Source organism: Homo sapiens, chromosome 11, assembly GCF_000001405.40.
Source record: "Homo sapiens chromosome 11, GRCh38.p14 Primary Assembly".
NCBI lineage: Eukaryota > Metazoa > Chordata > Mammalia > Primates > Hominidae > Homo > Homo sapiens.
The window spans coordinates 114,179,548-114,201,584 of record NC_000011.10 but is presented as its reverse complement, the minus strand read 5'-3'; the positions used below and the strand labels follow the sequence as shown (position 1 = coordinate 114,201,584).

Genomic DNA, 22,037 nt, shown 5'->3' with positions numbered 1-22,037 from the left:
TTGCAATTACAAATAGTGTTGCAATCAGCATCCCTAAGGAAAGCTTAGAAACTTTGGTACATAAAGGCCAAAGTCGGGGATGAAACGCCAAGGGTTTCTGAGCATTTGCCACACTGTCTCAGGGGCCTGCTGATAACAGGCCCTACTGCCACGGCGGTCGGTGGTTGAGACACTGGTCCCCGGATTCCTCAGGGAGCAACCCTGGGCCCGGCTTGGTGGCACGTACCTCCTTAACTTAGACACCTCCAATGAGATGCCAAGGTGTGCAATGAACTTTCTCCTCTCCTGGCTGTCTAACTCAGAAGAGGTTGTCTCTTCCTCCTCCTCCTCCTCCCCCTCCTCCCACCTCCACTCCCTTTGGGTACCTCTACTTACCCTGCCTCTGTTTTGAATCTCTAAAATAATGTGACAAGTTAATGATGGTACAATTATCTAAATGTTTAACAGACATGTTATCTAAGTGAGTCGGATTGAGATTCCATCCCGCTGACAGTAAACATCAATGGTGGAGCAGAAAGCGATAGGCAAATTATAGCAAACCCTGCAATTTCAATGCTATTAACTTTGGAGGAATAACAGCCTTGAGGCCTGTAAACTCTGAATAAAATAGGCCCTTGTGTTTGTCCAACTATTAAATCAAAATGCTACCAACATCCTAGAAAAAACAAGGCAATTTATGGCCTTTCAAGTTTCAGTTACACATTGGTTTTTATTAACTCCTTTCTGTCATCAGGCAGCCATGGCGTCACTAAGGAGAAGGGTGAGAAGTCAGAGAGGAAACACAGGAGTGGACAGTGGGAGAGAGAGGGATAAAGGAGAAGCTTGAGGGGCTGAGCATGGGCACGAGGGGAGACGAGTGGAAACCTGAGATCAAGAACTGAGGTTGATTATTCAGGACTCGGATGTGGGGACAATTCTGAGAGTGAAGGGGCAACTCAGACCAGTGAGGACGGTGAGTCCTGCCAGATCACCCCAAGAAAACACCAACCTGGAATCCCAGTCCTGCCACTGGATGAGTCATATTATTTAAGCCTCTCTGGGCCTGTGATTCCTCATCAGTGATGCAGACAGTGAAGCCCCCCTTAGTGGTGTCCTGATGACTATATTGGACCATACATAAAAAGCCACAGTGCTGGGCACAGACCACGTTCTGAATAATAGTCCTCAAAGATCAGACTCTATCCTTCCCCTCCAATTTCTAGAACAGTTTTTAAGAGGCAAAAGATCTTCATCTTTAATCCCTTCTTCAGACACAGTAGGTATTTAATACACTGTTACTGAATAAGCTACTAAATAAAGTGGAGGAATTCTTGTCTACTGGTGAGGGACAGAAACTGCAGGCCTCTAAAAATAACAGTAGCAAGCAGCTACCACTTATGCATACATCAGTCCTCCTTCCCAGGGCTCAGGGCTTCACATGTATGATTTTTTTTTTCTTTTTTTCTTTTTTTTTTTTTGAGACGGAGTCTCGCTCTGTCCCCCAGGCTGGAGTGCAGTGGCGTGATCTCTTCTCACTGCAAGCTCCGCCTCCCGGGTTCACACCATTCTCCTGCCTCAGCCTCCCAAGTAGCTGGGACTACAGGTGCCCGCCACCAAGCCCGGCTAATTTTTTGTATTTTTAGTAGAGACAGGGTTTCACCATGTTAGCCAGGATGGTCTTGATCTCCTGACCTCATGATCCGCCCACCTCGGCCTCCCAAAGTGCTGGGATTACAGGTGTGAGCCACCGTGCCCGGCCCCACATGTATGGTTTTATGTAGTTCTTACAGCAACCATTATGATTATTAATCGTAGTTTACAAATGTGAAAAACTAAGGTTGAGAAAAATACAGACCATCAATGCAAGATCAGAATCTTAGGCTGTCCTTGGAACCACAGAACCCCCCAAACAGTACTTTTCTTGCCCAATTCCTACACACTACCTTTGAGAGAAGCAAGGAAACGAAGCCATTTGTCCCATATGAAGCAAGTCCATAGCAGAGCCAGGATAAGAACCTAGTTCTCCTTCTCCTAATTCATTATTGCTTCCAAACACCATGCTGCCTCCACATCCCCAATGGTAATCTGCAATCACATTTCCACTAGGGTGGGAGGCCGGGGAAGGGCAAGGTCTGTGTCCTGCCCACTGCCCAGCGGCATCCATGGCTGGCATCCCCATCCCGGGGCCCAGCATCCATGTCCAGCATCCCCGTCCCGGGGCCCAGCGGCATCCATGTCCAGCAGCCCCGTCCCGGGGCCCAGCGGCATCCATGTCCGGCATCCCCATCCCGGGGCCCAGCGGCATCCATGTCCGGCATCCCCGTCCCTGGGCCCAGCGGCATCCATGTCCGGCATCCCCGTCCCTGGGCCCAGCGGCATCCATGTCCGTCATCCCCGTCCCGGGGCCCGGCATCCATGTCCGGCATCCCCGTCCCGGGGCCCAGCATCCGTGTCTGGCATCCCGGTCCCAGGTCCCAGCATACATGTCCAAAATCCCTATCCCAGGACCCAGCATCCATGTCTGGCATCGAGAAACACTCAAGATGTCTGTGGAGGAAATGAGCTTCAGCCCTTTCTAATCCAAACCTGCCTTGCTTAAATTCTCCTTCTCCAATCCCAAAAGAGCCAAACACCACTGATCCCCTCAAATCACTGTCCAGGGCAGTGATGCTTCATATAAAATGTGCTGGGGTGATGAAAGGGCAGAGCACAAAGGACTTTCAGGGCAGTGAAGCGGCTATTCTGTATGATACAAAAATGGTGAATGCGTGTCCTTACATGTCTGTCCAAATCCACAGACTGTACACCACCAGGAGTGAACCCTCATGTGAACTGTGGGCCCTGGGTGACAATGATGTGCCAGCGTAGACTCACCAATTGTAACAAATGTACCACCCATGTGGCGTGGGATGTTGATGGTGGGGGAGGCTGTGCACTTGCGTGTGAGGACGGGGGTACAGTGGGAACTCTATACTCTCCATTCCATTTTGCTATAACCTAAAGCTGCTCTTAAAAAAATGAAATTTATTAATTTAAAAAAGAGTATCGGGGGCCCCTCCAGAAGGTGGCCAGAGGGGCCCTGGGAGCCACTAGGGTGAACAATGGAGAGAAAGAATAGCTGGTCTGGGCCAGCAGGAGACGGCTGGGTTGTTCCTCCCTACTCTACAGCAAGCAGCTCCAGCACAGCCGAGAGCCCCTGTGCTTGGAAAATAAAACTCTATATTAGGCATCAAACATGCCTTTATAGTAACAGCATGAAATTAGGTCAAGAGTAAATCTATGCTGGGGCACTGACTGTACAAACAGCAGCACATGACCCTCCTCCCAAAGTGCCTATGACGTTCCGCGGCCGTTCTTCAGCCTGAGCTTTCTCATGTTAAATTCCTTGGCACAGAATGTGAAATGCTATACAAATCACCTCTGATATTTATAAAAGTCAAATGCTATTATGTTTTCAATGGGGAGGTCACAGCAAACCACATGGAGTCTGCCTGTCCCTCTGATGACTCACTGTCCTGTCCTCCCCGATACCCTCCACCTTGGACAGAGGTTTGAGGTTCGTTTGGATTTTTTTTTTTTTTCATGTAAAGTTTAGGTAGATTAAGTTATTTGTCATCATCTGGCCCCCTCCCAGCTCCTCTGGGACCAGCCACTGGGAGGCTGTTCTTGAGAGCAGGAACTAGAACAGTTGCCAGTTTTCCTATCATTACAGGACTCCTTGGTGCCCAGCACTGTCCCTCGTGCCAAGCTCAGGGCAGGAGGGGGCAAGGCCAGCAGCTATCCTGAGGGAAGGAGCGTTGCTGCTCACCCTTTTAAATCCTCTGCCTTCTGCACTCCAGCCTGGGCGACAGAGCGAGACTCTGTCTCAAAAATAATAATTAAAATAAAATAAATCCTCTGTCTTGCCTGCTACTCCCACCCCACCCCCTGCCCCCACCATGATCACCCACTACAGAAAATTCTCCAAACAAGGACTTCATTTTCTACTCTGAAGTTCAGAGCCAGGGACTGTCTCTGAAGCTTCCTCCAAATATTATTAACATATCAGGAGAGAGGGGCCAGTGCAAGCAGGCAGCCAACACCAAGGTTGGAGAGACAGTTCTGCACCTCCAAAGGGGGAGGCCACACAGTGCAAAGAGAGAGAGAGAGACAAAGAGAGAGAAACAGAGAGTGGGGGGAAGACAGAGTATATGCCTCCTAGACTCCTTCACACTGAAACGAAGAGGACCCTTTGGGTGGGGTTCCCTCCAATGCCCACTCCCTGCTAGAAGGGAAGGGCAGAGTCCACAGCATGGACCCTCAGCCGCCAGAGGTATGCCGTTTCTGGACTGCAAGACTCTTGCAGCCGACAACACAGTGGATGAGAACCAGCATCTCAACATTTGCATCTGGTTGAGTGGCTTCCCCTGTGACGCAGTAATGTGGAAACTAAGCAACCTTTTCTAGGCCAGTAAAAGAAAGTACTTATTTTGTAGTCACAGTGGAGAGAACCTTGGGCTGAACTCGTGGGCCCTAATTCTAGTTTGGATTGTGTGTTCTTAACTGACCCCCTTTTTCAAATAGGGGCTTTGATCCATTGATCCGCACATGAGAGCTGATGCCCAGGCCCCCACAGGGAGGGAAGACAATGCTAAAATGTGGGCTCTGGGGTACAGAAGCCCAAGGCACACATTCAAGTCCTGCCCCAGATTGGTCTTCCTTAACCTTTCTGGGACTCAGTTTTCTCTGGCAAAGATTAGGGAGGAAAAAAGGTCTATATTTTTGGACTATAGTGAAGACTTAATAAAAATAATAACTCAAAAGTATCCAAAAGAGTACAGCTATTGAATTATCTGTACCTAAGGCAAGTTCAACCTACATGCTCATTTCCTTCATAACACCGTAACCTTCAGGAAGGCAGGGCCCAATTTCTGTTCACTATTATGTATTAAGTCCACAAAGCACCTAGCATACAGTAGGTACTTAAAAACTCAGAGAATGAGGAAATGAAGGAACTACAGGATAAGCCAGCTACACAGGCTACTCTCACAGCAAACTTGAGTCACTAACCTGGCAGACCTTGCAGGGCAGGTTGAGGGCTGGAGGAGAGAGCTGAATTCCTCCAGGGTAAGTCTAGGGTCTAGTTCAACCTAGTACCCTGGGCCTGCAGAGGGTGCCCTTAAGCTTCCCAGCCTCAGAACTTCTAAACCTAGGAATGACCTTGCCTCTTTTTTCTTACTGGCGAAAAGGTAGGATGAGGTGGAAGGTTCTATTTGAAGAAGTCAAGAGATAGGGAATACCCAGGTTCCTGGTGATAGCAGACATGGTTCAGGACCCTACCAGGAACCCAAAATTCCTGAGCCTTTGAGGGCACCAGTCACTGAAGCCTCCTCTTAAGACGTGGAAGGGCACAGGCCTGGTGCTCCTGGAGGCTGGTACACCTGCTTAGTCTCGATTCCAGTTTTGCGGCCTGTCTGGCCTGGGTTTACACATCACCTGTTTAGACACCAACAGGGAATGGTTCCTTTGGGAAGCTTTGGGCATTCCAGACCTCAGGGCCTTAAGATCTACCAAATCTGCTCCCTGAGATTGCTCAAAGTGTGGAGCTTCAATCTGCCCTCACTTCTTTCAACTGCACTGAGAGGGCCCCAGTGGCTGTTAACTCAGTGGGCACATTGCAAATGTCCTCTTGGCCGGAGGACATAGTCAGGGATCCTGGAAGACCTCACCATGGCCTTGCAAAGCAGGTGTATACTGTTCCTATTCCTCCAACACCATCCTCACTGACTTGGCCCCGTCAACCTATCCAGTGGGGGAAATCCATGTTCTCAGAAGCCTCTGAGGAAGACCAGGATGATGCGATGAGAGAAACTGGCACCTCCATTTCCTGAGCACTTACTCCATGCGAGGCCTATATTGAGATTATCCAATCTGTGATGGGGCTGGAATTGGAATCTAGATAGTCTGACACCAGATCCCAAGTTCTGGGTCACTGTGCACCAAATACCCTGCACTTGACACTCTGACTTTAGGCTTCATGGGGTTCCTCTTCCCTGCAATCTGCATGACAAACCTGCACCACTCTGTTAGGGCTCAAACTTTCCTAGGAAGTAATGTCCTCTAGAGATCATCCCATCCACTTCCCTGCCTTCAGGCAGGTCTCTTGTCCCCAGGCAGTCATTTGCCCATCCCCCTTTCCTGCTCCCTGACTCCCTCAGTCTCTCTGGCCAGGCCCACACAGACCAGCCCTGGCCCCAACTCCCCCATGTTCACATTACCAATAGGTGGCTGCTCTGGGTCCCCTACAGATGGACTGAAAGAGTTGAAGGTTCCTACAGGTCACCCTCATGGCCTCTTTGCTCAGACCTCCCATTTTCTCCCGAGGGCATGCTGAAGACTGCCCGGCCTCCTACCCTGGAGCTCAGCAGCCAAGTTATCTCGCTGCCCTCTAATTAACACCACCGGATCCTGTCTGTTGCCCCCAGGCCTGTTCAAGTCCCAAATGGGGATGTACAGTGGCTTGAACAACATTATGATTTGTAAAACCCACTCCTAATTAGTTTGACTTTGAATAAAGAGGGTAATTATTTTTAAATTTATTAACTGCTGCCTGGCCAGAGAAGTTTCCAGATCAAATGACATGGAGAAGCTATTTCTGCTCAGTGATGCAGCAATTTATATTACTGATCGGTCATTAAAACCTCTGGCACAAAACCACTTGTGTTTCCTGAGCCAAGATAGTGTCCGTGTGTCAAATTTCAAACCCAGAGAATAAATTAAGCCATTAATGGTATTTATCAGTTTATCTGGACTTAAAGAACTACTTACTAATTTAAGACATTCCTGATATAGAAGCCAGGTGGTGCACTGGGTGTGCATGGGGGTGTGCACGTGCACGTATGTGTGTTTTCTCACTTTTATTTTACTGAACAGTGTAAAAAAAATTCTGATGTGTAAATGAAGTACAAGCATCTCGGGAACTGCCTAGCTGTTAATTCCTCACTGCTCTGCAACCCAAACATTTTGGAAGCAGCAGTGTTTTGCAATATGTATTTGTCATAATATAAAAGGTGTAAAATGATCTCTGTTTATCTCCTCAAAGCCTTCGTTGTACCAAAACAGAAAACTGAATGTGACAACAAAGCCTGAGCCCAGCCCAACCATAAGCGTGGCCTCCTAGAACACCAGCTTGAGCCCGTCAAGATCTTGAGGGCAGGGGGCAAGGAGGGGTCACACACACCAGGACAGAAATCCAGGTCAAATAGGGTCAAAAGGGTGAGATGTGAACATGCCATTCTCTTGGATAGGCTGGAATTGGAAATAGTTTCCATTAAATTCATTTTCCAGTTTCAAGAATACCTGTACAACACCATAACCACCTGCCCTATGCAAAGCCACACGTGAGCTCCATGAACTCCCACATGGCAGCCTTGGATATGAAACTGATCTGATTCAGGCAAACTGTATCCTACTCCAGGAGGAGGATGTACACATCAGGGTGTTGCGGCTTCTTAGTGCAATGGAGCACAGGGTTCCAAAAGAGCTCTTCCCAGGCAGGGCCATGAACTCAATGACCTCTAAACAGGATCACCCGGAACCAATCAGCCTACAGACTACTGGACAACACTCAGTCAGTGCGGAGGCAGCCAGGGAGTAGTAGAAAGAACACTTGAGTTGGAGTTGGGTCAAGTTCCAGTTCTCTACTTCCTAGTGGGTAGTGTCTAGGCCTCCATGGTCTCATCTGTTAAATGGGTGTAATCAAGGAAATTGTTTTATAAACTAAGGTAGCAAAAATATCAAGTGGCACTGGCAGTATTTTTACTGTCCCAGGGTCTCCATTCCTTCTCTTTTTCAGAGCTCTTCCCTACCTACTCTCCCGTTGGCTTCCCAACGGTACCTGGTCTCCCACCTGGCTTTTCCCACTCCAATAGCTTTAGTGACATTTTCAGCGCTCCCTGTCATCAGGCAACTCCCTTCCTCCTGGGACCCCTTTCCTGGAACAGAGAGGGCAAATAGATTTCAGACTGTATTCTCTCATTGATTATTAGGGGAACTAAAAATCCACCTGAGTTCAGCAGGAAGTAGCGCTGTGAGTGATGAATGAGCTCTGCCACATGTCGGAAAGAGTCACCATGGTCACACAGGACCCCTCTTTGCCAGCCCTATCCTGAGGGTAAAACTGCTGTTGTATCTCCCCTCGGCACTGAGCACGACACCTGCCCCACACAAGGAAGTGGCTCTTCCCTGCTGGGGGAGCTCGCCCACAGCTCACACTAAGGCTGGCAGGGAGCCCTTCTCAAAGCATCCACCTTGGTCTCTCACCCCTAATTTGGATTCATTTTCTCCATTCCCCATCCTTTCAAGAGCTCAGTTTACTCAATCTTTATTGAGCACACCACATGTGGCCTATTGAGCAAGCCACATTTTACCTCAACATCAGCAGGGGGCACTCGGTAGCTGACCTCTCCCTCCTCCAGCTGAGGAGCCCCATCCACAAGATCTCTGGGGAAAAAACAAAAGGCCCAGACCACCACATTCAGACCTTCAGCTTATTTCAAGAACAGGGCATGTGCCTGAGTTGGTCACCATCATATCCCCAGCAGGTGCCAGGCACACAGGGGGTGCTCCATATGTCTGGGGTCCGCCTAGGAACAGCCTCCACAGCTGCTCATCCCTCGGGGACTCAGCTTACTCCCCTGCCCCTGGCTGAGAGGGCAGCTGGCTCCCTGCTGCTGCAAATTTAATCTGGATGGACAGAATTAAGCTGCTTGGCAAAGCTGGCTCACAGCTCATTCCCCCAGATTAGAACTCTCAGAGTGGGATTCTCAGTTACATGCGGTCTAGCAATAAGAAAATGGCTGGGACCCTGGGAGACCCGGTTCTCCCCTTGCTTTCATGACAACCACCTCTGGAACCCTGGGCAAAATAACCTAGCCAGGTCACTTTCTCTATAACTGAGCTAGGGAGATGCTGACTGGAATGACAGCTCACCTGTAAAGCTCCCCTCCCATCATGACAGGGCAAGGCCCCTCCAGACCAAAGCTCAAGATGCCAGTCAGGAGGCATGTTTTCCACTCAGAAAAGGCAAGGACAAGAACGCTGAAATACTGATGACAATAATCTTAACAGCAGCTGACTGGTGTTCTTCCTTCTTCCACTTTAGTCCCCTGTGGTAGCTTGTTTCCAAAGATGACTGCCATCAATTCCTCCTTCCCTATAGGTTTCTGTCACTTCCCTACTGAGAAGGAGAGTCCAGCCTTCCACCGCCTTCTATCTGGGGCTGACCTGTGACTATCTGATTGATGAAATATGGTAGAAGTAATGCTGTGTACTTCCAGCCTAGCTTTTAAGAGGGCTGGCAGTTCCTGTGTCCTGACTCCTGGAAACCTGAGCTGTCACACAGCAAGTCCAGGTTACTCTGCTGAAGAGAGAAGCCATGCAAAGGAACACTGAGACTCAGATAATTGAGTGAAGGAGCCATCTTGGACATCCAGCCCAGTCGAGTCTTCAGATGACACCAGCTCCAGCCATTACCTGATGGAAACCACATGAGACCCCAAGTGAAAACCACCCAGCTGAGCCCAGTTATCCAAAGAACTGTCAGAGACAATAACACTTTATTGTTTTAAGCTACTATTGGAGTGGTTTGTTACATGACAACACTCTCTATGGTCAGTCCGCAACACAAGAGCCAGAATAATCTTTTAAACACATAAATCAAGTCATGTCATTCTCCCAGTCAAAACCCTCCAATGGACTACTTTTCCCCCTTCCCTATAAATGCACATCTGTGTGTGTATATGTATTATATCTCAGTAAAGCTACGTATGCGTGTGTGTGTATATGTGCGTGCATGCATGTGTGTATAGTCAAATGTCACTTAGTGATAAGGATATGTTCTGAGAAATGTTTCATTAGACAATTTTGTCTTAAATAGGGCACAGCGAGCCAAAAGAGCCCTGCCCATGACAAGGCAGTGAGCTAAATGATCCTGAGCCTTTTAGCCCACGGACAACACTCAGTCAATGTGCAGGCAGCTGGGGAGTCGTGGAAAGAGCACGTGAGTTGGGTCAAGTTCCAGCTCTCCACTTCCTAGTGGGTAGCTTCTAGGCTACATCCTAGAGCACACTTACATAAGCCTAGATGGTACGGCCTTCTACACACCTAGGCTATATGGGACAGCCAATTGTTCCTAGACTTCAAACCTTTACAGCATGCTACTGTACTAAACACTGCAGGCAATTATAACACAGTGGTAAGTATTTACATATCTAAACACATCTAAATGTAGAAAAGGCACAGTAAAAATACGGTATTATAATCTTATGAGACCACTGTCATATATGCAATCCATTGTTGACCAAAATGTTATTATTATATGGTGTAATATAGTTTGGATATTTGTCCTGTCCAAATCTCATGTTGAACTGTAATCCCCAATGCTGGAGGTGAGGCCTGGTGGGAGGTGATTGGATCATGGGGGTGGATTTCTCCTGAATGGTTTAGCACCAACCTCTTGGTGCTATTCTCATGACAATGAGTGAGTTCTCTTAGATAACTGGTCATTTAAAAGTGTGCAGCTGCTTCTCCCTCACCCAACTCTCTCTCTCTAGCTCCTGCTCTGGCCACGTGACATGCCTGCACCCCCTTTGCCTTCCACCATGATTGTAAGCTTCCTGAGGCCTCCCCAGAGCCTGAGCAGATGCCAGCATCATGCTTCCTGGAAAGCCTGCAGAACTGTGAGCCAATTAAACCTCTTTGTAAATTACCCAGTCTCATGCATTTCTTTACAGCAATGCAAGAACGGCTTAATACATGGCACGTCACTCTGTTTGTGTGTGTATGTATACACATGTGTGTATATATATGTGTGTGTGTGTGTGTGTGTGTGTGTGTATGAGAGAGAGGTGGCATGAGTGATGCCAGTGACTCTTACTGACACTGGCAGAGCTCATTTATATACATGTACACACCCATGCCGCTTTTCAGAGACCTAATACACATACCATTTAATATAAAATTCATGTCTTTTAAAGTGTACAGTTCAACTAATACACAGAATGGTCCCCGACTTAGGATTTTTCAAGTTTATAATTGTGGGAAACCATCACAGTTTTGAAGTCATGTACAGGATATAATAAATTCCATGAGATCTTCAACAATTTTATTATAAAATAGGTTTTATATTAGATGATTTTACCCAACTGTTGGCTAATGTAAGTGTTCTGAGCACATTTAAGGTAGGCTAGGCTAAGCTATGATGTTCAGTAGGTTAGTTGGATTAAATGCATTTTCAGTTTATTATCTTTTCTACTTATGATGGGTTTATCAGGACACAGTCCCATTGTAAGTCGAGGAGCCTCAGTATTCGAAGCTGTGCAGTCATCACCACAATCAATTTTAGAACATTTTCATCACTCCATGAAGAAACTCCAGCTCCATCGGCAGTCGCTCTCAATTTCCTCGCAACTTCCCCAGCCCCTGGCACCTACTAATTTACTTTCTGTCTCTATAGATTTGCCTATTCTAGATATTTTACATGAACAGAATCATTTTGCATCTGGCTTCTTTCATGGAGCATGTTCAAGTTCATCTGTGTTGTAGTATGTATCAGTACTTCATTCCTTTTTAAGGCCAAATAGTATACCATGGTATGAATATACCACACTTTGTTTATCCATTCACCAGTTGATAGACATTGGGTTGTTTCCATTTTTTGGCTATTATGAATAATGCTGCTATAAACATTCACGTACAGGTTCTTGTGTGAACATATATTCTCACTTCTCTTGGCTGTATACCTAAAAGAAGAACTGCTGCATCGTATGATAATTCTGTGTTTAACCTTTTTTTTTTTTTTTTGAGACGGGGTCTCACTCTGACGCCAGGCTGGAGTGCAGTGGCTCAATCTCAGCTCACTGCAACTTCCGACTCCCTGGTTCAAGTGATTCTCCTGCCTCAGCCTCCCAAGTAGCTGAGATTACAAGCACATGCCACCACGCCCAGCTAATTTTTCTATTTTTTTAGTAGAGACGGGGTTTCACCATGTTGGCCAGGATGGTCTCGATCTCCTGACCTCATGATCTGCCTGCCTCAGCTAACCTCTTGAGGAATTGCCAGAATGTTTTCCAAAGTGGCTACACCATTTTACACTCCCATGAGAGTTCTGGTTTTTCCACATCTTTGATAACACTTGTAACTATCTGTATTTTTTATTGTAGCCACATTGTAGTGGGTGTGAAGCAGTATCTCACTGTGGTTTTGATTTGCATCTCTCTGATGGTGAATGCAGTTGAGCATCTTTTTCATGTGCTCATTGGCTATTTGTCTATCTTTGGAGACATGTCTGTTCAGAACCTTTGCCCATTATTTAATTTGATTATTTGTTTATGTTTTTTGAATTATAAGACCTCTTTCTATTTCTAGCTATAAGTTCCTCATCAAATATATGATTTGCAAATATTTTGTCACCCTCCAAAGGACTCAGCACATGCAGAGTAAAACCCAAATCTTTTACCAGGGCTGAGAGACTTGACAGATCCTGTCCTCATCCCTCACCACTCTCTACACGTCACTCCCAGCTCTCTGGCCACCACTGCTCTGCGTGTGGGTCCTTAAACTTGTCAGGCTTGATCCAGCCTCAGGGCTTCTGCAAATGCTCACTCCCTTTGCTTAGACATTCTTCCCAGAAATTTTTGAGTGGCTCACTCCTTCACTTTTTAAGACTCTGCCCAGATACCACCTTCTTGGAGAGGCCTTCCCTAACCATTTTATCCACAACATTTCTCCCTAAATATCCACAATATTTCTTTTCTCCCTATTATTCTCTACTCCTTATCCTTTTCCAGTAGCACTTAATATGTATAAGCAGACATGATATCGTATATTTATTTGCTGATTCTGTCTCCCAGCTAGAAGCTCAGTTCCATGAGAGGCAGCAATGTCGTCTGTCTCATGCATTACTACATCTTAAATGCCTAAACAGTGCCAGCACCTTGTAGAAACTCAATAAATATCTATTACATTAAATATACCTACTACTATTTATTGAGTGCTTACTATGAGCCAAACACTCCATGAAATACTTCAAATAAAATACCTTATTTCATCCCCACAACAACCCTAATGCTATGAGGTAGACACTAATATTACTCCACTTTTCTAACAGATGAGAAATCTAAATTAAGAGAGTTTAAATAATTTATCCATGGCCCCACAAATAGGAAGTGGCAGAGTCAGGATTAAACCCATGCAGTCTCAGCTCTGAACTATAAGACTCTACCACGCCTGTCCCCACTACCAACTCCAGCAAGTCACTTTCCCTCCTTTCAGCCTCAGTTTCCTCATCTATGACATAAGAGTAGCTTCCAACCTTACCTTACAGGGTTACTGAGAGATTGGCCAGATGGGATCACGTAAAGCAGTGGTCCCCAACCTTTTAGGCACCAGGGACCAGTTTTATGGAAGACAACCTTTTCACATACAGCGGAGTACAGGAGGGTGGTCCTGGGATGATTTAAGCACATTACATTTATTGTGTACTTTATTTCTATTATTACATTATAATATATAATGAACTAATTATACAACTCACATAATGTAGAATTAGTGGGAGCCCTGAGCTTGTTTTCCTGCAACTAGATGGTCCCATCTGGGGTTGACAAGAGACAGTGACAGATCATCAGGCATTAGATTCTCATAAGGAGCATGCAACCTTGATCCCTTGCATGCACAGTTCACAATAGGATTTGTGCTCCTATGAGAATCTAATGCTGCTGCTGCTGCTGCTGCTCTGACATGAGGAGGAGCTCAGGTGGTAATACGAGCAATGAGGAACAGCAGTAAATACAGATGAAGTTTCACTTGCCTGCCCACCGCTTGCCTCTTGCCATGCAGCCTGGTTCCTAACAGACCACCACAGACACCAGTCCATGATCCCAGGGTTGGGGACCCCTGACATAAAGCACTGAGAACAGTGCCTGCCTCACTGTGAGTGTTAAGTGTGAGCTGCTGTGATGATGTGATGACAACGACTCTGATCACAATGATCAGATGACTTTGGTGCGGTGAAATCAATCCCTTTGAAATCAAATAAAGCTCTATCATCGTGAGTTAATATTGTTCAAATGCATCCTGCGTACACGCTGATTTTAGACAATGTCTCAGCTCTCGCAGAGGGAGGACCAGCCAACTGTGGCCACACGAGGGTTTCAGTTTCATCAGATGGGTGTGAGAGATTTCCTGACCAAGGGAAGAAGATGTTTTGATAACAACACAGACTAAGGCCTCAACAAGAGCATACTAGATACCTCCAAGAACATGAGCTCTCAGTGGCTGGTTAGAGACAGATCTTGGCCTAATCTAGGACAGCCATTCTCATGGGGCCATGTCATACTTGTAAACTTCTGCTGGGCCAGCCACACAGACAAGAGTAGCTGAACGTGGCAGAAGCCCATCCTACTCACAGCTCGCCCAGGAAATTACTGGATGTCACATTTGCTAAAAAGAGGTTGCCACCCAGACAGTTCATGTCCATGTGCTACCAACACTGTGGAAAACCTGGAGAACAGGAATCCAAGTCAACTCACCAGTATGGGTCTGCCTGTGTGTCTCCAGGGCATCCTCCTTCGAAAACTGTGCACCGCACTGATCACAGACAAAGGCTTTGGCACCCGCTGAAAGAAAGGAGAGGCAGTTACCACTAGAGCAATAGTCCACTGGTGAGCGGGGAGGTCCTGGGCCACAACTGTGCAGGTAGACACTAGGGAAGGGGACTGGACACCCGCAAAAATCCTGAGTGAGGGATCATCCATGGCTCAGACCCTCCTCCAAGAGGTGAGCATTCACCCAACTGAATTCTGAATGCCCTTGTCTAGGGCTCTTCTAGAGAGAAGGAGAAACAAAATCAGAACAACCAAGATAAACGGAAATGGGTTCCAAGTTAGATACCTCAAGAAGAAGGAGGATCTGAAGACCTAGCTCCAGGTGATGGGGGGGACAGGAGAAAAATGATACCAACACAGGGAAATGTGCCCTGTTGCCTAAACTGTACTTTATGGGAATGTAAGAATTGCTGACATACCTCAACCTGGATGTCCATGGGGACCTCTGACTCAGTGTGTCCAAAACTAAACTCATCGTCTGTCCCCCAACTGCCACCTGCATCTGACCATTTAAAACCCCTGAATGGCTCCCCTGTGCCTGGAGAACAAGGTCCAAACTCCTTACTGTGACTCACAAAGCATTTCTGGGTGTGCTCCTCTTTCCTGCTTCGTCTCTCACACCTCACTCTTGCTCTCTTTTCTCCAGCTACACTGAACCACGCGGGCTGCCTGGAGGAACCGTGTTCTTCCCATTGCTAGGCCTGTGCATATTCTTCTGCATGTCCTCTGCCTCTGACATTCTCCCATGCTTCTCTGGCTGCTATGGTGCAGTTGGAGCTCCTGTTCGTCATTCATACATCAACTTCAATACCCGGGCCCCCAACTGTAGGTGAGGCAATGCTCCTTTATGCTCCCATAGCACCTGATATGTTCCAGCTCTCGGCCCTTTATGTGCTCCATTTTAAATGCCTATGGCCCTGTCTTTCTCTCTCACCACACCGTAAGCTCCCTGGAGGAGGGACTGTGTCGTCTTGTGCACAGCTGCATCTGCCTGACACACACTGGAAACCTATTACTATACATATTTGTGGAATAAATAAAATTAATTCAGTGCAACTCAATTTAATAAACTTTCTCAGAACTGTTATTTAGAAGGCTTAAAGTGATAATGCCACCATGTCAAGATGAAACAGTACTTTTTATCACTGGCTAATAGTCTTCATGGCTCTACTATATTATCTGATCCAGGGGTCAGCTGTCACAAGTCTTGGCATTTTTCCTTCAAGATGTCTGGTAGATGCATTCTTCCACTGCGTTGGGTGCAGTGATTCCACTGCAATCACCACCCCATTCAGGCCCTTGCTGCGTCACACTCAGAACACTGTAAGACGCAAGGTGGTTTCCACACCACCAGCCACCCGCAATCTACTCAACAGATGCAGGTTCCTCTACAGCCACCTGATTCCTCACACGTTCTTACTCAAGAAGATACAACGCCTCCCAATGTGTACTGATTCTAAATTCCTCTACTTGGCTTCAAGGCCTTCCATAACCTGTCCCAGTTAGCCACCCACCTCCATAGGTAAGCTGTCCTCACCGGCCCTCTCTGGGCACCACTTACCTTCCCAGAGTCTCTGTGCCTGAGCAATGCTCAGTCCCATTCTTCCATCTGTTCGAATCCCACTTCATTTTCAAGGCCACAGTTTGTGGACATCAAGCACTCAAGTCCCTTACTCTTCTGTCCTTTCCAATCTGCCACTGCACTCTGTTCCTTTCAACACGTCTTAGCGCTTTGTTGTTGTTGTCATTGTTTTTGAGATAGGGTCTCTGTCTGTCACCAAGGCTGGAGTACAGTGGTGCAGTCATAGCTTAATGGCAGCCTCAACCTCCTAGTTTCAAGCGATCCTCCCACCTCAGCCTCCTGAGTAGCTGGGACAACAGGTGCACGCCACCATGCCTGACTAATTCTGTTTTTTTGTTTATTTTATTTTATTTTATTTATTTATTTATTTTAAAGAGATGAGGTCTCACTGTGTTTCCCAGGTTGGTCTTGAGCTCCTGGGCTCAAGCGATCCTCCCACCTTGGTCTCCCAAAGTGCTGGGGGATTCCAGGTGTGAGCCACTGTGTCTGGTCATCTTAGCTCTTCTTTAAATATGCCTGTGTTTTAGTTTTGTATTGGAGCCTCGTACGAGCCAGAACTACTTGTTACACAAATTTGTAGCCCACAGTGCTGTTTCAAATCACCTCAGATTTCCTGAGGCTTGACTATATGCCAGGCATGACACTAAATGCTTAGTATGTATGGTTTGTCCCAACAACCACCATTTATAGTACATGCTAGCATTACCTCCAGGTAGCAGATGAGTAAATTCAAGCTCAGAGAGGTTAAGCACTTTGCCCAATGCCACACAGTGGTTGACATAGTAAAGGTGAATTCAAACACAGGCAGCCTGATTTCAGAGCCTGATTTCAGAGTAATCCCCGTACCCTTCGGCCTCCCTGGGGTTCCATCTGCAAAGATGTTTTGTGGATAAGACTCCATGGGTGGGGTCTGAGCTCCCATCTCTGAATGAAAATTCAATTTACCTATTTTACACATCAGGGCTTTGGGGTTGGAAAAATGACTCCACTACTTTTCTAGAAATTTGAAAACCTCTGCCTTGGAGAATCAGCACATACTGAAGGAATGTAACTCCAAATACAAGCTGTTCCAGCACAGACTTCAATACCAATGAATGCTTCTTGCAGTGAAGAATATGAGGACCCTAGAGGAGGTCTAGAATGTGGGGTCCTCTGGGGGTATCGACTTTCTCTATCTCACTGACACCTATCTTCTACTGATGAGCAGGATATACTCTAGTAGGTGCTCAATAAATGTGAGTCGACTGGCTGGATAAGTGGGTGATAAAGTACCCCATGGAAGATATGAACTCACTTTTACTGAAGAGCTTTAAAAATAAATATTGTCATTTGCCTTAGGTGGCTGGGGTTGAATTTCACCTGGAGGCAGGGAGAATCCCATGGTGACCTCTGGGTGTCCCTTCACGCCACAGGGCATCCTCAGGCCAAGCACCTGGTACACGGCTTAAGAGAGCTTTGAAGAAAGAGCCAAGAAAACTTCTAGCCCCCAGTGACAGCAAAGCAGTCATGACATGTGTTCACAGGGGTAGCAGCCAAGACTACCTTTCATCCATTTACACTGGAAATGCAGAAAGCACCTCCAAGAGCAGAGTGGGCCTGGATGGGAAAGCTGCGGCTGGATGAAGTCACAGCTCCCTCACAATTAGAAACTGCCCCCAGTCCCAAATCATCAGCCATCAATGATTTTCTGTGGATCTGTAAGGAATCTGATTTTAATTGTATTTCTTCCTTGGGTTCTATCCGCTCTCACAGCTCCCTAAAGGAGAAAGGGGAAGCAAAGGCCCGAGGAGGGAAGCACCAGCTGGGAAGGGGAGGGCACTCCAATCGGCGAGAAGCCCACCATGCCACAGGCTTCCAAGGGATGTGGCGCGGAGGGTTCTTAGAAAACAGCCATCACTGTGGGCTAGAGGAGCTTCTCGCTTTAATGACTGAGAAGCAGAGAGAAAGGAAGGAGGCCAGGTAGGAAATAAAGGGCCGGATGTGTACCATCAGACAAGTGCAGAGGAAGATGAAGACAGATAAGCACACATGATCAGTAAAGGCGGCTGCCTCGGCCCAAGCCTGACCACATCTGCTTGCCTTCAAAGTCCCGCCACTCCACCCCCACCTCGCTGAAGTCACGACACTGAGCTGAGCATGTGAAAGCCCCTGTCCTCAGTGACTCTGGGCCAGGTCCCTCCTTACACGTGGATAACACAAACGTCAGCTCCCATTGCTAGCCCCCACTCACGAAGCCCCAGTACTCCCACGCCCACCCGGACAGGCTCTGACTTCCCCCCCAGCTCTCCAGGGTGAGAGCAAAGACAGGCAGTTCCATGGACACGTGAGCGGAGCCGAGCGAGACAGACAAAATCCTCTCTCCTGAGGAGGCTTGTGCCTTTAAATGGTCTCTGTAATGGCTGGCTCAGAGGCAGAAATATTTGGCAGCCCTGAAATTAAAAGTGATAAATTTCCTCGCCAAGCTTTGATCGATAATAGAGGCCTCATCTGTTAATCAATAAGACAGTCTCTGCCTGTTTACTGTGCATATGTTGTTCACTGCTGCCTTCAGTATGATGTCAGGTTTGCATTCAAAGCAACTCAAGTGTGTATAAACCACATGGCTATTCCCAAAATGCATTACGGTGACATCATGCAGCCACTAATACATTTATAAAGCATCAATGGGAGGGGGCGAAGTGGGAGGGAAGAAGGTCACGCCAGCTGAACACAGCGGGTGCGCATGGACCTAGCAGCAGCATTTACACCCACAAAATTTCCTGGGGCTCAACCTGGAGTAGGGAGAACTCCAGGGACACAGCTCTGGGATGGCCATGACTTGCCATATCCTTCCTACACACGGGGGCTGGTTTTTGAATGTCCAGTAGCTATATGCCGAGAGGTGGATTACAGGAAATAAACAAAAGAGACGAAATCCCTGCCCTCAGGGAGTTTATGTTCAAGATGGGAGGGCAGATTTTTAAAGAGCGAGTAAATACAAAACAGGCCAGGTGGTGATAAGTGATAAAAAGAGAAATAAATTAAATGAAGAGGGCCGGACACAATGGCTCACGCCTGTAATCCCAGCACTTTGGGAGGCCGGGATGGGTAGATCACTTGAGCTCAGGAGTTCAAGACTAAGCTGGCCAACATGGTGAAACCCCATCTCTACTAAAAATACAAAAATTGGCCAGGCATGGTGGCTGATTTAAAATCCCAGCTACTCAGGAAGCTGAGGCAGGAGAATAGCTTGAGCCCGGAAGGCAGAGGTTGCAGTGAGCTGAGATCACACCATTGCACTCCAGCCTGGGAAACAGGAGTGAAACCCTGTCTCAAAACAACAACAATAACAACAACAAAGCATTGAGTAAAGATAAACAGAGAGTGCCAGGGGCTGTTCTTTTACACAGCGTAGTCAGGGAGGCCCTTGCTGATGCACTGACATCTGCATAGAGCAAGGCCACCACGTGAGAACACCCTCGCCAGGCAAGGCAAGAGGAGCAAGGAGGCCAGCTGCACGGGATGGAGTGACATGGAGGTGGGAGATGCGGGGCTGGGGGAAGTTAAGGGATAGATTGCGGGAAAGAAATTAAATAGCAGAGGGAGAATAGCAGAAGATAAAGTGCGCTAGACCCTTGCTAACCACAGCAATCACAGATCCAAGCAAACCGAGAAAAATAGCAGGATCTAGAGGTGCAGGCACGAGATCCCACGCCTAACTTGGCCACTCACAGCTGTGGGCATCACACTAGTCATCACACCTTGATGAACTGATTTCCCAATCTGTAAAATGGGCATAAGCCTATCTGTCTGCCTCCCTGAGGCTGCTGTGAGGAGCAAACAGGATAATAGACATAAGTGAATACAAAACTCCTTGTCAATCACAAAACATTCTGTGGATAGCAGAGGTCCTTGGTGCCATTTATACCTCAGGAGGCAGTGCAGTGTGGTTAAGAACTCAACATTTGGGTCAGACAGATCAGAGGTCAAATCCCAGGCAAGCTAGTCGCCAGCTGTGACCCTCAGCAAGCTGCCAGTCTCAGGGAGCCTGTTGCCTCAGCTGTAAAATGGAAGCAGTAAGGGGAGGTCCCTTGGAGAGTTGCGACAAGGTGGGGAAAGTGCTCCATCCTACAGCTGGTGGGTAGATATACAGAACCAGTAAGTCGCAGCTACCATCTTCTCCAGTCACTTTTCCTTTAAAGAAAGAGCTCCCTTCATGCAATTAAAGTATGACTGATTTTACTGGAATTGGATGTACAGTTATTTGGGGGCCATTTATCTTGTGTAAAGTGAGTCTCACATTCATAAAGACACACAGTACCACACGTGCACATACATGAACGCACACATGCACACCCCACCTTGTTCCTCTAATTTAAAGATGAGTGATTGTTTTGTTGAGGGGAGCAGAAAAATCTGCCATCGAACCAATATGTCAGTATCAGCAGCTATTCACCAACCTGGCTCTGAAATCTTCTCTGGACAAGCCCCTGGAGCCCCATTCAACTGTCCTGTATTTGGAGCTCTCTTCCATCTTCCCAGTGGACTGTAAGCTCTGTGAGAGCAGGTTCCCACCTGTCTTGGGCTTTACCATATCCCTGATACCCTGCGCCATGCCTGGCATACAGTCTGTGCCCACTAAATGCTTGTTAAACAAAGAAAGTCCCAGGCAGGTTCCTGGGTGCAGAACTCACCTGGGAAGGGCGCAATGGCCACTCAGGGCACTGCCAAGCTGTCTGTCCCCTAGGGGGTGGCAGAGTCCTTATTCTGCACACTCCGTTCTCTACTACCCCCTATTTAAAACTCAAGGACATGGTCTCTGGCTAGGTCTCAGGTAGTTGAGAGGAAAAGGGAGGAAAGGTTAGGAAGTGGGGCTGTCTGCTTCTTCTGGTGTGAGATCTCCCTCTCATCAGCATGTCTGCTCCCAACCCAGTCCAATGCTCACTGTGGCAGCCAACAAACAACCCTTCCCTCCGCTACAGTCAGTGAGCCTCCTGCCCCCCAGGCAGTGATCTGCCGAGTGACTACTCCCTACCCCAGGCACTGAGTTTATCTGAGATTCCAGGTACCCAGTTGTGAAAGAGACAGGCGGACATCCTTGCCCCTACCAGTCTCCCAGGTACCCTGCAGATGAGGGCTTCGGGATGTTCTAAGCACCACCCTGTAGGGAGCTCCCTGACCATTTTGGGTTCTCCAGACTCCTACTCTTCTCCCCTTTTTCCCTGACTTCCCGACACCTCCAGAAGGTTGGGGATAAAGGAAGGAGGAAGGTTCAAAGCCAGTTAAAGTTCGGTGGAAAGACAGGACGCACATGCCAGAGGCGGGACTGAGGCCTCCGTGTGTGGGAGCAGCTCTCCCTCTGTGCCAAGGATCACCCCAACTCACAGGAATCAAAGGAGGGAACAGCCAGCAGGGCACTTTCAAAAACATAAAGCTTTCTCTAAATGCCCAGGATCCCAATGACAATAAAGCTGAAATCCAGTGGAAGCCATGACAAGCTCCCTGCAGCTGCCCTCTCCCCCTTGTCAAAGAACCTCCCTCCCTACCTGCCCTAACCAGAAATGAGGCTGAGGGGGTCCCGGCATCCAGGAAGGAAGCAGAAGACACTGAATGCAATCAGATATGGGGTGGTGTCTCTCTGAAGGAAATAAGGCAGAAGCCAATGAGGGAAGAAAAAAAAAATTCAAATCCCTCCCTCTCCAAAGCCTCTCCCACCCCCATGCTAATAATAAGAAGGGAGAAAAAAAAGAACCACTGAAAAAACACCTAATGTTTGCCAGCATCTAATGTTGAGTGGTGTGTCCTTTTTTTCAAAATTCCTTGAGATTTTAAAATAAACATCTTGAATGTTCTGA

General features: G+C 47.5%; 1 protein-coding gene across 6 annotated transcripts in view, besides 1 other annotated feature; it reads right to left on the bottom strand.

Moving 5' to 3' along the window:
* ZBTB16 (zinc finger and BTB domain containing 16) overlaps window positions 1-22,037 on the bottom strand; it is a 197,060-nt gene that overhangs the window by 55,186 nt on the left and 119,837 nt on the right. For 5 of the 6 annotated variants that reach the window (NM_001354750.2, NM_006006.6, XM_005271658.6 and 2 more), the window contains exon 4: window positions 14,547-14,633. The exons of the other annotated variant lie outside the window; for it this stretch is intronic. In NM_001354750.2, coding sequence (NP_001341679.1) covers window positions 14,547-14,633 — 87 coding nt within the window. The remainder of the gene's footprint in view (window positions 1-14,546; window positions 14,634-22,037) is intronic. 6 annotated transcript variants of the gene reach the window in all.
* Window positions 14,224-14,283: a silencer, noted in NCBI's record as "silent region_3915". NCBI's record gives its function as "represses an Ori minimal core promoter by ATAC-STARR-seq in GM12878 lymphoblastoid cells {active_cell/tissue: GM12878}" and the evidence as "EXISTENCE:reporter gene assay evidence [ECO:0000049][PMID:35858748]".